The sequence below is a fragment of the Homo sapiens genome, chromosome 13 (genome assembly GCF_000001405.40).
Source record: "Homo sapiens chromosome 13, GRCh38.p14 Primary Assembly".
NCBI lineage: Eukaryota > Metazoa > Chordata > Mammalia > Primates > Hominidae > Homo > Homo sapiens.
The window spans coordinates 110,821,494-110,835,528 of NC_000013.11; the positions used below are offsets into that span (position 1 = coordinate 110,821,494).

General features: G+C 50.5%; 1 long non-coding RNA gene across 1 annotated transcript; it reads left to right on the forward strand.

The window, feature by feature from the left end:
• The first annotated feature begins 613 nt into the window (after window positions 1-613).
• On the forward strand, window positions 614-12,982 carry LOC105370363 (uncharacterized). Its single transcript, XR_007063874.1, has 2 exons — window positions 614-1,054; window positions 3,370-12,982. It is a non-coding gene; the product is annotated as an uncharacterized LOC105370363 (long non-coding RNA).
• Window positions 12,983-14,035: the final 1,053 nt, after the last annotated feature.

The window sequence follows — 14,035 nt, forward strand, 5'->3', positions numbered from 1 at the left end:
CTGCTCCACGGCACCCAGTCCCAACGACCACCCAAGGGCTGAGGAATGCGAGCGCACGGCGCAGGACTGGCAGGCAGCTCCACCTGCAGCCTCGGTGTGGGATCCACTAGGTGAAGCCAGCTGGGCTCCTGAGTCTGGTGGGGACGTGGAGAGTCTTTATATGTAGCTCAGGGATTGTAAATACACCAATCAGCACCCTGTGTTTAGCTCAAGGTTTGTGAGTGCACCAATCGACACTGTATCTAGCTGCTCTGGTGGGGCCTTGGAGACCCTTTATGTCTAGCTCAGGGATTGTAAATACACCAATCAGCACTCTGTATCTAGCTCAAGATTTGTAAACACACCAATCAGCACCCTGTGTTTAGCTCAAGGTTTGTGAATGCACCAATCGACACTCTATCTAGCTGCTCTGGTGAGGCCTTGGAGAACCTGTGTGTGGAAACTCTGTATCTAACTAATCTGATGGGGACGTGGAGAACCTTTGCATCTAGCTCAGGGATTGTAAACGCACCAATCAGTGCCCTGACAAAAACAGGCCACTGGGCTCTGCCAATCAGCAGGATGTGGGTGGGGCCAGATAAGAGAATAAAAGCAGGCTGCCCGAGCCAGCATTGGCAACCCACTCGGGTCTCCTTCAACGCTATGGAAGCTTTGCTCTTTTGCTCTTTGCAATAAATCTTGCTACTGTTCACTCTTTGGGTCCATGCTGCTTTTATGAGCTGTAACACTCACAGGGAAAATCTGCAGCTTCACTCCCGAACCGAGCGAGACCACGAGCCCACCGGGAGGAAAGAACAACTCCAGACATGCTGCCTTAAGAGCTGTAACACTCACCGCGAAGGTCTGCCGTTTCACTCCTGAGCCAGTGAGACCACGAACCCACCAGAAGAAAGAAACTCTGAACACATCTGAACATCAGAAGGAACAGACTCCAGACGCGCCACCTTAAGAGCTGTAACACTCACCGCGAGGGTCCGCGGCTTCATTCTTGAAGTCAGTGAGACCAAGAACCCACCAATTCCGGACACAGAATTTCATGGAGCCTGGAGCCCAGGTAAGTAGTGAAAGCCGTCTAGAGATGGAGGAGCAAAGCGAATACACAGGTGGAGGCTGAACGCTGAGAAAAAGAGTGCTGGGGTCTTTGCAGTTTGGGTTGTAGCCACTTCCTGAGGCTCGGGATCCTGAGACAGCCCACATATGAAACCTCTCTGTGTCCTTTCCTCACTCCAGCCTGAGCTTGCGTCTGTCTTTTTCAACCCAAGTATGTGAATGAACACCGCAGGTGGTGCTCGTCTGTCTGATGTTATAAGAACTAGGCCTGTGTAAGAAGTCAGGAAGTTCAAACGTCTTTCTTTTTTTTTTTTTTTTTTTGGGACGGAGCCTCGCTCTGTCGCCCAGGTTGGAGTGCAGTGGCGCAATCTCAGCTCACTGCAACCTCTGCCTCGCGGGTTCACGCCATTCTCCTGCCTCAGCCTCCCGAGTAGCTGGGACGACAGGCGCCCGCCACCACGCCCGGCTAATTTTTTGTATTTTTAGTAGAGACGGGGTTTCACCGTGTTGCCAGGATGGTCTCGATCTCCTGACCTCGTGATCTGCCTGCCTCAGCCTCCCAAAGTGCTGGGATTACAGGCATGAGCCACCGCGCCTGGCCTCTTTAATTCTTAATAGTTTTTTTTTCTTTTTCTTTCTTTCTTTATTTTTTTTTTTGTGACAGTCTCCCTCTGTCACCTAGGCTGGAGTGCAGTGGCACAATCTCAGCTCACTGCAACCTCTGCCTCCCGGGTTCAAAGACTCTCCTGCCTCAGCCTCCCAAGTAGCTGGGATTACAGGCGCACCACCACTATGTCATGCTAATTTTTGTATTTTTAGTAGAGATGGGATTTCACTCTCTTGGCCAGGCTGGTCTCGAACTCCTGACCTCAAGTGATTCGCCCACCTCAGCCTCCCAGAGTGCTGGGATTAAAGATGTGAGCCACCACACCCGGCTTAACTCTTAATATTGGATATCAGGTTAATTTTATAACGAATGATCATTTCTTATAATTTTATTTCTTGGTTTGTTGCCCAGGCTGGAGTGCAGTGGTATGATTTTAGTGCATTGCAGCCTTGAACTCCTGGCCTCAAGTGATCCTCCTGCCTCAGCCTCCTGAGTAGCTGAGACTAGAGGCATGCTCTACTGTGCCTGGCTCATTTCTCGTAATTTGAAAAGTTAAACATCCAAGCTACAGTGAACTGAATCCAGTATTAATAGAGTGGTGTCACTTGGGGTGTTTGTATTTTATTTTGACACAAGAGAACTGACATTAAAATAGCCGAAGGAGTATGGTTTCATTCTGAAGAAGGATTGGTCAGCAGGGAGGCTTAGAAATTGGAGATTCAGGCTGGGTGTGGTAGCTCACACCTGTAATCCCAGCACTTTCGGAGGCCAAGGTGGGTGGATCACCTGAGGTCAGAAGTTTGAGACCAGCCTGGCCAACATGGCGAAACCCGATCTCTACTAAAAATAGAAAAAGTAGCCAGGCATGGTGGTGGGTGCCTGTAATCCCAGCTACTCGGGAGGCTGAGGCAGGAGAATCGCTTGAACTTAGGAGGTGGAGGTTGCCGTGAGCCGAGATTGCGCTAATTTTTGTATTTTTAGTAGAGATGAGGTTTCGCCATGTTGGCCAGGCTGGTCCAATCTCTAAGCTTCCCCTGCTGACCAATCCTTCGCACTAAGGCTTTGTGGAATCTAATGGGGGTGGCTTCTGGCCACAGGTGACTTGTCGCTTGTTCCATGCAGGCAGCAACTTCTTGGAAATACATGCTCTGTATTCGAATTGAGCAAACGTTAGCCTGGTAACAGATAACCCCCCAATCCCAGCAGTTTAACCCTTTCCTATTTGCTCCAAGAATACTCACTGGTGGTGCTTGTGGCTGCAGCGTTTACCCCGAGATAACTTTGCCACACAATATCTTGTTTTTATTATTTTCACAGTGCTCGAGTATATCGACTTTGGAAACAAAACACATCATTCTATTTATAGCACTCTGTTTTTAGTAGAGGTACTTCCATTTACAAAATACAGTCATTCTCAATCGCTGAAAATGTCAAATCCTAGAAAACGTAGCATTCCTCCGCGTGATGTTAACATCATTCTCAAACAGTTTTTGGCTGAAGATTCATTTGATGAATCTGATTTTTCAAAAATAGACAATTCTGATGATTCAGACAATTCTGATGCTAGTTCTGTTTAGAAATAACTCCAAGAACAGCTTTTATATTTTATTTTCACATTGAAAATCTGATTTGCTTCAGCCTCAAAGAGCGTGTTTATGTAAAATTAAATGAGCGCTGGGAGTGAGCTGCACTTTTTGTTTTTTCCTAAACAGGAAAAGGGTGAATCCAATGCAGGCTGATTTCTGGCTTACATCACAGTCCAGTCTGATTTTCTGCAGATTACTTTCTACAAGACGATTTGGGACCTCAGTTTACCACCTCCCAGCGGACCGACGGGTGCGGTGAGTGGAGATGATTTTGTGAGAGTTTTTAGGACAATCCTGGAAGTGGGTTTGTCACTTCTGGCTGCACTCCATTGGCCTGAAAGGAATCACACGGCCCCACCCCAATGCGGGAGGCTGGGAGTGTTCAGCGCCTGCAGAGAAGGTCAGGTGGGCTGGAAGCCCTGCGCCAGGCATGGCCACGCCCTGGTGAAGGTGCTCGACAAATGTGAACATCTCCACCTAAGCCCCCCTTGGCACCACCACTGAGTCAGTCTGTGTTTTGGATGTTTAATTTTGGGGTTCAATTTGCTGATGGTGAATTTGACAATGATGTTATTGATTAATTCATTTAAAGGGAGGAGAATCACAAATATTGTGGCTAGTACAGAACAACCTCTTCCACCAAGCCAGTTGTGACTGTTGCGGATGGAGATGGACACCTAGTGAATGATTTAATCCACCAACAATTGTGGCACACAGGCATCGTCTTCCCCACGCCAGGACTCAGAGGCTGAGCCCAGGGTGCTGAGAGGCTGAGCCCACAGCTCCGGGGTGAGGAATGGAGCTCCCCGAGCGCGGCTTATCTTTCAAGGGAGCTCACACTCTTTTACAACAACCCTCGAGGTGAGGGCTCCTTCAGACTCTCCCAACTCCACCCATGGCCACAGCCTCCGGGGCAGGGCTCCTGTTCCTACCCACCCCTCAAGCTCCTTCTCATCCACATGCCCAGGCTAACGTTAGCCACACTGGCAGCGGGGGAACTGACCCTGAGCAGCAGGCGCTGGCCCCTGCTCCAAGCCCTGCTTTCCGAGTGAACTCTTGTACCAGCTGGAATTGTCTCCGGGTGCTTCCTCCGTCAGACCACGGTCAAGTGCAGGTCCAGTGTTTTGGGTCAGATGTCAGTGGGCAGGCTCAGCATTCATCCAAAGAAATAGCAGCTTCGTAATTGGTTACTTGTAGGGGTAATTAGCTATCTGCATAAATTAACTGATTCCTCCTCATAGTATGTCCCCTATAGACAGTGAGGGTTCAATTTGCTGTTGGTGAATTTGCTAATGTGACTTATTGATTAATCTTTTTAAAGTGGGGTGGTTCCCAACACTTGAGGCCACCTGAGCCCATGGAGAGGGTGGAAACTGACCCACAAAGCTGCCAGCTGCTGGGGAACACGGGTCAGCCCAGTGAGGCAACTCTCTGGCCACATTGCCCACCGCCTGCCCTTCACTCCCACCAAGCATGGCTCCCTCAGAGTCCCATGGCTGCTCTGCTGCCCAAGGAAACTGTTCCTCTGGGCGTTCTCAAAGGCCTGAATGGATGAGTGCCATGTCCAGTGCTATGAGTCTCCTGATGGTAGATGGACACTGTGTCCCATGTCCAATGGTGGGGACTGTGCCATGCCCTGTGTCCAGTGATGCTGGATGGGCCATGCCCAGTGTCCAGTGATTATGGACAGGCACCGTGCCAAGTGTGCTATGATTATCGATGGGTGCCATGTCCAATGTCTAATGATGATGGACAGGTATGTTCAGGGTCAATTGATGGTGGATGGGCACCATGCCCAGTGTCTAATGATGATTCAATTGATGGTGGATGGACGCCATGTCCAGTGTCTAATGATGATGGACAGGTATGTTCAGGGTCAATTGATAGTGGATGGGCGCCATGTCCAGTGTCCAATAATGGTGTACCGTGCTCAATGTCTGATGAGAGTGTACAAGTGCCTTGCCCAGTGTCCAGTGATGGTGGACAGGCACCATGCCCATTGTTCAGTAATTATGGTCATTGGACATGCCAAGTGTCCAATGATGGTGGACCATGCCCAGTGTCTGATGAGGGTGTATGGGTGCCATGCCCAATAATGGTGGACAGGCATCATAGCCATTGTTCAGTGATTATGAACAGGTGCTATGCCAAGTGTCCAGTGATGGTGGATGGTGCAATGCCCAGGGTCCAATGATGGTGGATGGGCACCATGCTCAGTGTCCATTGGTAATGGATGGGTACAATGCCCATTGTCTAATGAGGGTGTATGGGCACCATGCCCAGTGTCCAGCTCATTGTCCAGTGATAATGGATGGGCCCCATGCCCAGTGTCCAGTGATTATGGACAGGCACCATGCCCAGTGTCCAGTGATTATGGACAGGCACCATGCCCAGTGTTCAGTGATGGTAGATGGGCCTCATGCCCTGTGTCCAATGATTATGGACGGGCCCTATGCCCAGTGTCCAATGATTATGGACAGGCACCATGCCCAGTGTTCAGTGATGGTAGATGGGCACCATGCCCGGTGTCCAATGATTATGGACAGGCACCATGCCCAGTGTTCAGTGATGGTAGATGGGCACCATGCCCAGTGTCCAATGATTATGGACGGGCACCATGCCCTGTGTCCAATGATTATGGACAGGCACCATGCCCAGTGTCTAATGATGGGGAATAATAGAGTTTGGATGTTGTCCCCACCCAAATCTCATGCTGAATTGTAATCCCCAATACCAGAGGTGTGGCCTGGTGGGAGGGGATTGGATCATGGCAGTGGATCCCTCATGGCTTGGTATTGTCTTCGAGACAGTGAGTGAGTTCTTGCAAAATCTGGTCATTTAAAAATATGTGGCACCTGCCCCTCACCTCTCTTACTTCTCCTTTTACCATGTGATGTGCCTGGTTCCCATTTGCCTCAGGAAGCTTCCTGAGGCCTCCCCAGAAGCAGAAGCTACAATGCTTCCTGTAGAGCCTGTGGAACTCTGGGCCAATTAAAACTCTTTTCTTATAAATTACACAGTCTCAGGTACTTTTTTTTTTTTTTTTTTTTTTTTTTTTTTTTTTTTGAGACAGAATCTCACACTGTTGCCCAGGCTGGAGTGCGGTGGCATGATCTCGGCTCACTGCAACCTCCACCTCCTGGGTTCAAGCAATTCTCATGCCTCAGCCTCCCGAGTAGCTGGGACTACAGGTGCACCTCATCATGCCCAGCTAATTTTTTTATTTTTAATGGAGACGAGGTTTCACAATGTTGGCCAGGATGGTCTCCATCTCTTGACCTCGTGATCCACCCACCTCGGCCTCCCAAAGTGCTGGGATTACAGGTGTGAGCCACTGGTGCCCGGCCTCAGGTACTTATTAATAGCAATGCAAGAAAGGTCTAACGCAGTGGACAAGTACCATGCCCAGTGTCTGCTGAGGGTGTATGGGCAGCCTACCCAATGTCCTCTGATGGTGGGGCATTTGTCCATGGGTCTGTGAAGAGCCAGGAATACCTCGGCCATGTTGGGGACAAGCTCCCCAGCCTGTGGAGTCCCCTCATCCTTCTTTCTGTACCGTGAGTGCTCCTCCAATCGGAGAATACTTTTCTCCTCACCACATTCCACCTGTTACCATAGGTGTTTGTCTTTTTGGCCTCCCTGATAAATTTCAGGCTCCTCAGGGACTGGGCCCACAGAAGCCCCTAGACTCTGGATCTCCTAGCACTGGTCCTTAGCAGTGTTAATGGATGGATGGTTGCCGGGGTACATGAATGGTTCAACTTTTCTTCATATATTTATCACAAGTTAGAGGGAGGATTCCATTCACACCTCCCAAAGAGTCCAAACTGCTCACCACTTAGACCTGGAAGCCTTTACGGGAGACAAAAACTCCTGGTGAGGAAGGTAGAGCTTCTAGGGAAAGAAAGAAAAAAAATTAGCAACTTTATATGGGACCTTGTGTTCAGCCATTCTTGCACTGCTATAAAGAAATACCTGAGACTGGGTAATTGATAAGAAAAGAGGTTTGATTGGCTCATGGTTGTGCAGGCTGTATAGGAGGCATGGCACCGGCATCTGCTCAGCTTCTGGGGAGGCCTCAGGGAGTTGTTACTCATGGTGGAAGGTAAAGCGGAAGCAGGCCTGTCTCATGGCGAGATTGGGAACAAGAGACAGCAGGAGGTGCCACACGCTTTTAAACAAGCAGATCTCACTCATGACCAAGGGGATGGTACTAAGCCATTCACAAGGGATCTGCCGCCGTGATCCAATCACCTCCCATCAGGCCCCACCCCCAACACTCAGGACCACATTTCCACATGAGATTTGGGTGGGGACACACATTCAAACTCGATCAGACCTTTGCCTTCGCGATTTCACCAGGTCTTGCTGCGAGCACACCCACAGGGCCATCTGCTGTCTGCCATCAGTGTCTATTTGATGGCAGTGCCTCATTCGGGCTGCCTGGCGCCACGATGTTTCAGTTGTCCCCTTTTGATGGCCATGCCTGAGAAGCCACAGGAGTAGTTGCTCAGTGTCAGGACTCAGGCTTCTGGTCCAAAACCCAGACCCACTTCTTAAGGCAGTGTGACCTTCGGCAGGTCACTTAAGCTCTTTCCTGTCTCTGAAATGACTGTAATAATGAAAAGCTCTTCCTACAGTCATTGCAGGGACTAAGTGAGTTAATGCAGGAAATCCTTACAGCATTGCTGCACATCACAGCGCCCAGTAAACAGTAGCCATTGATGCCTCCATTTCCCAGAGGAGGAAACTGAGGCTCTGAGAGGTTCAGAGATTTGCCCAAGGCTGCAGAGCTAGTACGCGGCAGAGAGAGGACTTAGAGCTAACTCTGTCTTCACCTATTTACTGATCACAGGCTTGGTTAGACCCCAAGGTCTCCCGCACACTCCCCAGTGGACATCTCCACTGATGTGGCTCTGACGCCACCAGCCCCAGCCCTGGTGTGTATCGAGCCAGCGGCGGTGGTGGGGCCAGTGGCAGCAGGGTAGGGCAGTTGCTTTCACTGGAGTCTTTAGCACACAAGGCGATGGGTCCAGCTGGGTCTTCTGATGCTTAGACATGGAGTTGGGCTGAATTGCCTGGACCTAACATCATTTAAGGATGAATACATTGTTCTGGGATGTTCTCATAAGATCACAGAGACACAGAACAGAGACAGAGGTTTTCTCTTTCTATTTTTCTGTTTCTCTACCTTGATGACATCACTTATTGTAGTGTGTTTGAATTGTGTCCCTGCCAAATCCATCTCTACCCAGAGCCTCAGAATCTGCACTTATTTGAAAATAGGGTTTTTTGGCCGGGTGTGGTGGCTCATGCCTGTAATCCCAGGCACTTTGGGAGGCCAAGGTGAGCGGGATCACCTGAGGTCAGGAGTTCAAGACCAACGTGGCCAACATGGTGAAACCCCATCTCTACTAAAAATACAAAAATTAGCCGGGCATGATGGCAGGTGCTACTTGGCAGCTACTTGGGAGGCTGAGGCAAGAGAATCGCTTGAACCCGGGAAGCGAAGGTTGCAGTGAGCCAAGGTCATGCCATTGCACTCCAGCCTGGGCGGCAGAGTAAGACTTCATCTAAAAAAAAAAAAAAAAGAAAATGGGGTTTTTGTAGATGTCGTGAGTGAAGATGAGGTCTTCCTGGAGTAGGGTGGGCCCTAAATCAAATGACTGGTGTCTCCATAAGCAGAGGAGAGGACACGCAGAGGGACACCAGGGAAGAGGGTGGCGAGACAGTGGAAGCAGAGGCTGCAGCGAGGCATGGACATCTACAAGCCGAGGCACAGCTGGGATGGCCGGCCACCGGGAGCTGAAGGGACAGGGAAGGAGCCCCCGGAGGAAGTGCTGCTGGCCCACACCTTGATCTCGGACTTCCAGCCTCCAGAGCTGGGAGAGAAGAGATTCCGTTGTGCAAACACCTGGTCTATGGTGCTTCGTCCTCGCAGATGCGGCAAGCGGGTCCAGCCAAGAATAAATGCGAGGTGGGCAGCAGCGGAATCACTTCTCACTGGGGTGGGATGAGGCCAGAGGGAAACGAGGAGGTGGGCTCAGAAGCCCAGTTCCCCAGTGGGGTTTTCTTTTTCCCTTCCCGGGGGGTGGCTCCTGCGTGGCTCCTTTTGCTGCCGTCTGCCCATCCTGACTTGATCTTATTTGCCCTGGCGGAGCTGCCTTCCCCCTCGTGTCACCTCTGCCCTTTCCGGGAGGGGCCCTTGTTCTCCGCCCCCAGCAACACTCCCATCCCGTGAGCCTCAGGCTTTGCTGCCGGTCTCTGCTGTCCCAAATGCGCGGCTCACTCCTGTCCTGTGTGGGCTGTCACCTGGCGGGGGAGTGGGTGGATACAGAGGTGGTTAGGCTTCAGAACGGTTTCCCTCTCCTCTGTGACTGGCAGCTCTGTCATTCATCAAACCCTGAGATGCCAGACAGTTTCCTATCTCTCAAACAAAGGTTAAGCAAATCAAGTTTTCACAGAGTAAAGCTGATCCATTGACAGGACAAATTGCTTAAGGAGAATTCATCTCACTGTCGGCAAAATCCATCAATCTAGGGTTAGTCATTGAGTATCTCCTGCCAGAGCAAGGGACCAAAAAATGAAGGGATGAGGGCGAGCAGGAAATACTCAGGCCCTGCCCGCAGTCAAGGACAGGTCCTGAGCAGGGGCTGTAATGGAACAAGAGTGTTTCCTGTTCCTCTCCCTAACCCAGGCCCTCACTCCACGTACCTAATGCCGGGTCGAGCACTGAATAAAGCACCAAGAGATACTGTGCATGGCACACCCCTGTGGGCAGCCTCCCTGCTCTCCTCGGTCAAGCAGGGCCCCCTTGTGTATCCCCATCTACCCCACTGCAGCCCCACACAGGTTCTCCCCAGCCTGTGGCCCAGCCCCTGCCCCTGCCATGCAGTTGCCCCCCACAGCCCCCCATGGAGGCCTCTGCCCAGCTCTCAGCCCTGGGGTGAGCTCACCTCCCAAGCCTAGCCAGAGGGAGCGCAGCCCTCCTCACACCCTTATCTCACCTCCCCACCTCTAGACTGTGCAGGAGCTTTCTGCTGTGTGAACCCCCAGGCCATGGTGCCTGGTCCCTGCAGACACAGCGAGGGAACCACCCAGAGGTGCATGTGGAGTGGGTGGATGGCAGCCAGGAGGCTCTTCTCACCCAGGGGATGAGGGCAGAGGAAAACCAAGAGGGAAACCAGGCCACAAGGGGCTCACCATGCCTCTGCCCCTCCTGTCCATGGCGATGACCACGGTGGACACCAGCAGGCCCCAGGCGAGGCGGCGGGAGGCAGCAGGCAGGATGGGCCATCCAGGGAGGGAGCTGGGAGGCCGAGTGGGCAGTGATGGGCTTCAGTCTCCCTGAGGGGCTGTCCTCCCACTGAGGAGTCCTCAGCCTCATTAAATAACCAGGGTTTGTCTCTGTGGCGTGGGTGGCAGGGACAAAAATCAGTGCCCAGGAATCACGGCTTCCTCCCTCCCTCACTGCCCAAGCGGGAGATCAGGCTCCTTCCCCACCTCACAGCAGCCAGAGGTGGGGGCCTGGGAGCTGGGAGAGGAGAGATTCATATCACCCAAGGGGCTCTGTGGGAGGAGGTAAAGGTGCCTTGGGGGGAGGAAGGGTGACGAGGATCAAGGATGATGCTGGGCTTGGGGAGGAGCATGGGGAAGAAGAGTGTCCTCCCAGGGCTGTGGGAAGGCAGGGGAGAAAGAGCACATGAGAGGCGGCACCACCCTGGTGTTCCCTGGAGAGACCCTCACAGAGGCGCTGGTCTGTTGGTTGCTATGAAGAGGGTCCCCTTTGATTGACATGCGGAGGATGCTGCATGAACTTGGAGCCGAGGCAGTGGGGTTTTCACAGCTTGGAAAAGCCCAGACTTGGTATTTGTTATGGGTTGAGTTGTGTCCCGTGAAAACCAGGGTTCTGGAGCCCGAAACCCTGGTACCTGTGAATGAGAGCTTATTTGGAAATTGGGTCTTGCAAACATGATGAAGTCATGGGGATCATGAGGGTGGGCCCTAGTCCAGCATGATGTCCTTATGGGGAGGCGAGAACCCTGTGTGAAGACTCCCACGGGACAAGGCCTGAGATGGAGGCAGAGATAGACACGGCACATCTAAAGCCAAGGAACCCTGAGCCTCACGGCAGCCCCGGGAGCTGGGGAGGGGCTGTGGAGGACTCTCCAAGTCTCAGGGAGGCGGCCCTGCTGACATCCTGACTTCAGACTTTCCAGCCTCCAGAACCGGGGGATGATAATCCCTGTTGTTTTAAGGCCCCCCAGTTCGTTGTTACAGCAGCCCCAGGAAGCTAATTCAGCACTCTAAGTTGCATTGCAAGCAGAGTCCTTCAGGAGAATGCGAGGAACTGCGTGGTCCAGCTTGGGCTGAGGGCAGTGAGCAGAACCTTGCCAGGAAAGGAGACCATGGCTCACCAGGCCAGGCAGCCCTCTCTCCTCTCTGGCCCCAACGGGCACAGCAAACTGAGGCTCCAGACAGGAGGCTGAGCACAGGCTGTCTCTGCCCTGTGCCCACACCTGCTTGTAAGCTGAGGGCATTTTATTGGCACAGACTTCAAAAGCATTAAAAAACATCCCACATGGTAATGTTATGTACAAGCAAGGTAATTCTACATGTCTGGAGAATGGATGTAGCATAAATTGGGTCTTTTGGCCAAAATGAGAAATAACAGATGCAAAGATATTGCTATTTAACAAATGCACAGTTTTGCTCCACTTTTGGTTAAGAGTCTTGTTTGCTTTTGATGAAGAGTCAAGGACTGAAATAATGTAAAAAAGTTAAGAATATTTATTTAAACAGGAATTTTCATCTAAGGTCCAAGCACAAATAGCCCCGGCAACACCACGTTCCAGCACCGAGCACAGTACGATAACTGTGCTCAAGGTTACCTTCCATTTCAAGTTGTAAGCATTTTTCCAGAAATATCTATGACTGGAGTTAGAACCATGACGGCTCAGTCATGTTGTTAGTCTCATGATGAAGAACATGAAATAGTTTGGAGAAAAAGACAGATACATTTAATGGTTCCAAATTACAGATCCTCCACGGTGGATCAAAAGCTTACTGGGACATTTTTCTTTAAGGGCAAGGGAATTCAAGATACTGGTGGCGCCATTTCAACAAATCATTGCCGTAAATGTGGTTTGCGGGAGGCCACCAGGCTGGTGGACATGGGTTGTTCCACCAGGCTAGAACACAATTGCTTTTGTGTGTTGTGTGTATGTGTGTGTCTTATGTATGTTTCTGTGCCGCGGTGTGTGTGTGTGTGTGTGTGTGTGTGCACAATCTCAATGCAGGTAGGTTATCCAGGCACACGGGACACCTGGTAGAGCACCTTTAGGAAGATGAGCCAAGAATTATTTCCATAAACCATGTCAGAATCGTCACTGAACACTTGCCCTTCCTCCTTATGAAAATGTTTAATTTACTCATTGTTAGACAAAAAGGCAGACGCTTAAGATTTTTCATCATTGTAAAAGAAGTGTTATCTATGGCAAATGAGTCAGTAAACACATCCTAATAGCAATATGCTGCAAAATGTGTCAATTTGAGGCCAAACATGTTCCTTTATTAGAATTGATGTTCTCCATCCTGAAGCTCCTATTACAGCCTCATTTGGGTGGAAGGAGGAATTTCAGGGAGCAATGCAGTTCAGCAGAAATTGTTGACACGTTATCTCCCTTCACCAAAGGTCAACATTTGATGGAAAGTTACACATAATAAAATAATTCCCAAATTTGGTTTCCAGAGCAGGGTTCTTCACCTGGCTGCCCCTTGGTCTCACCGGGGGAATCACGACAACGTTCTGATATTCAAGCTGCACCCTACACCACCTCTGTCAGAATCACGGGCTGTGGAGACCAGTGTATTTTTTTAAGCTTCCAGATGTTTCCAATGTGCAGCCAAACCTGAGACCCAGGGCTCTACTTTGCTATGTGAACTGTGGTTCTTGGATGAGTGTTATCAGTGCCACCTGGGAGCTTGTTAGCACCGCAGACTGTCAGGGGCGCTCCAAACCTGCTGAATTCCAGCCTGCATTTTAACAGGATTCCTCGGGACTGCTGTGCACGTTAAAGGTTGAGAAGCTTAGGCATGGAGGCATTGCTCTGCCCCTGTGTGGCACTTGGGAGGCCAAATGTGTGGAATCAATTCCCTATGGCCAGGACAGTCTCAAATAGAGGGGAAGAAAGCCTCTGTATCGTGGGCCCTGGTCGCTGACAACTCTCTTGCTAATTTGTGGGTCCTTAGGCTGAGCACCCACCAACTTCTGGGGAAACATGTTTTCTTGGGCCTCACAGGCATGGAGAGCTTTAGGGGAACCCTACACACATATGTATTATTTCTTAAAACTGGTCTACCTGAGAACACCTCTCTTCTGCCACACTTCCTCTCCTTTCACTTTTGAGCCCCTGCCACCATTCATAAGGCAGCCACCACTCACACCCATCCCACTTCTCCCTATGGTGCTTTGCTTTGGAGTTTGAAATACCTGCTATATTTGCAAAAAGCAACACAGGGAGGATAACCCAAAATGAATGAAATGATTTTCGTGTAAAGGTGGATGGGAATGGGGTGAAAGGGATGGGGAATATATCTTGTTTGTAGTTTTGAATTTTGGAATTGCGGTTAATGATTCATATGCTTATGAAAATAAAATGAAATAATTAAAGATAGGGAGAAATACTCTAAATTGAATACAGCCAGAAACAAATAAAACTTACTGTATTTCAGGTGAATAACATAACCACAGTGATGGAAAACAACTAATCTAAGCAACTTCTGAACACAG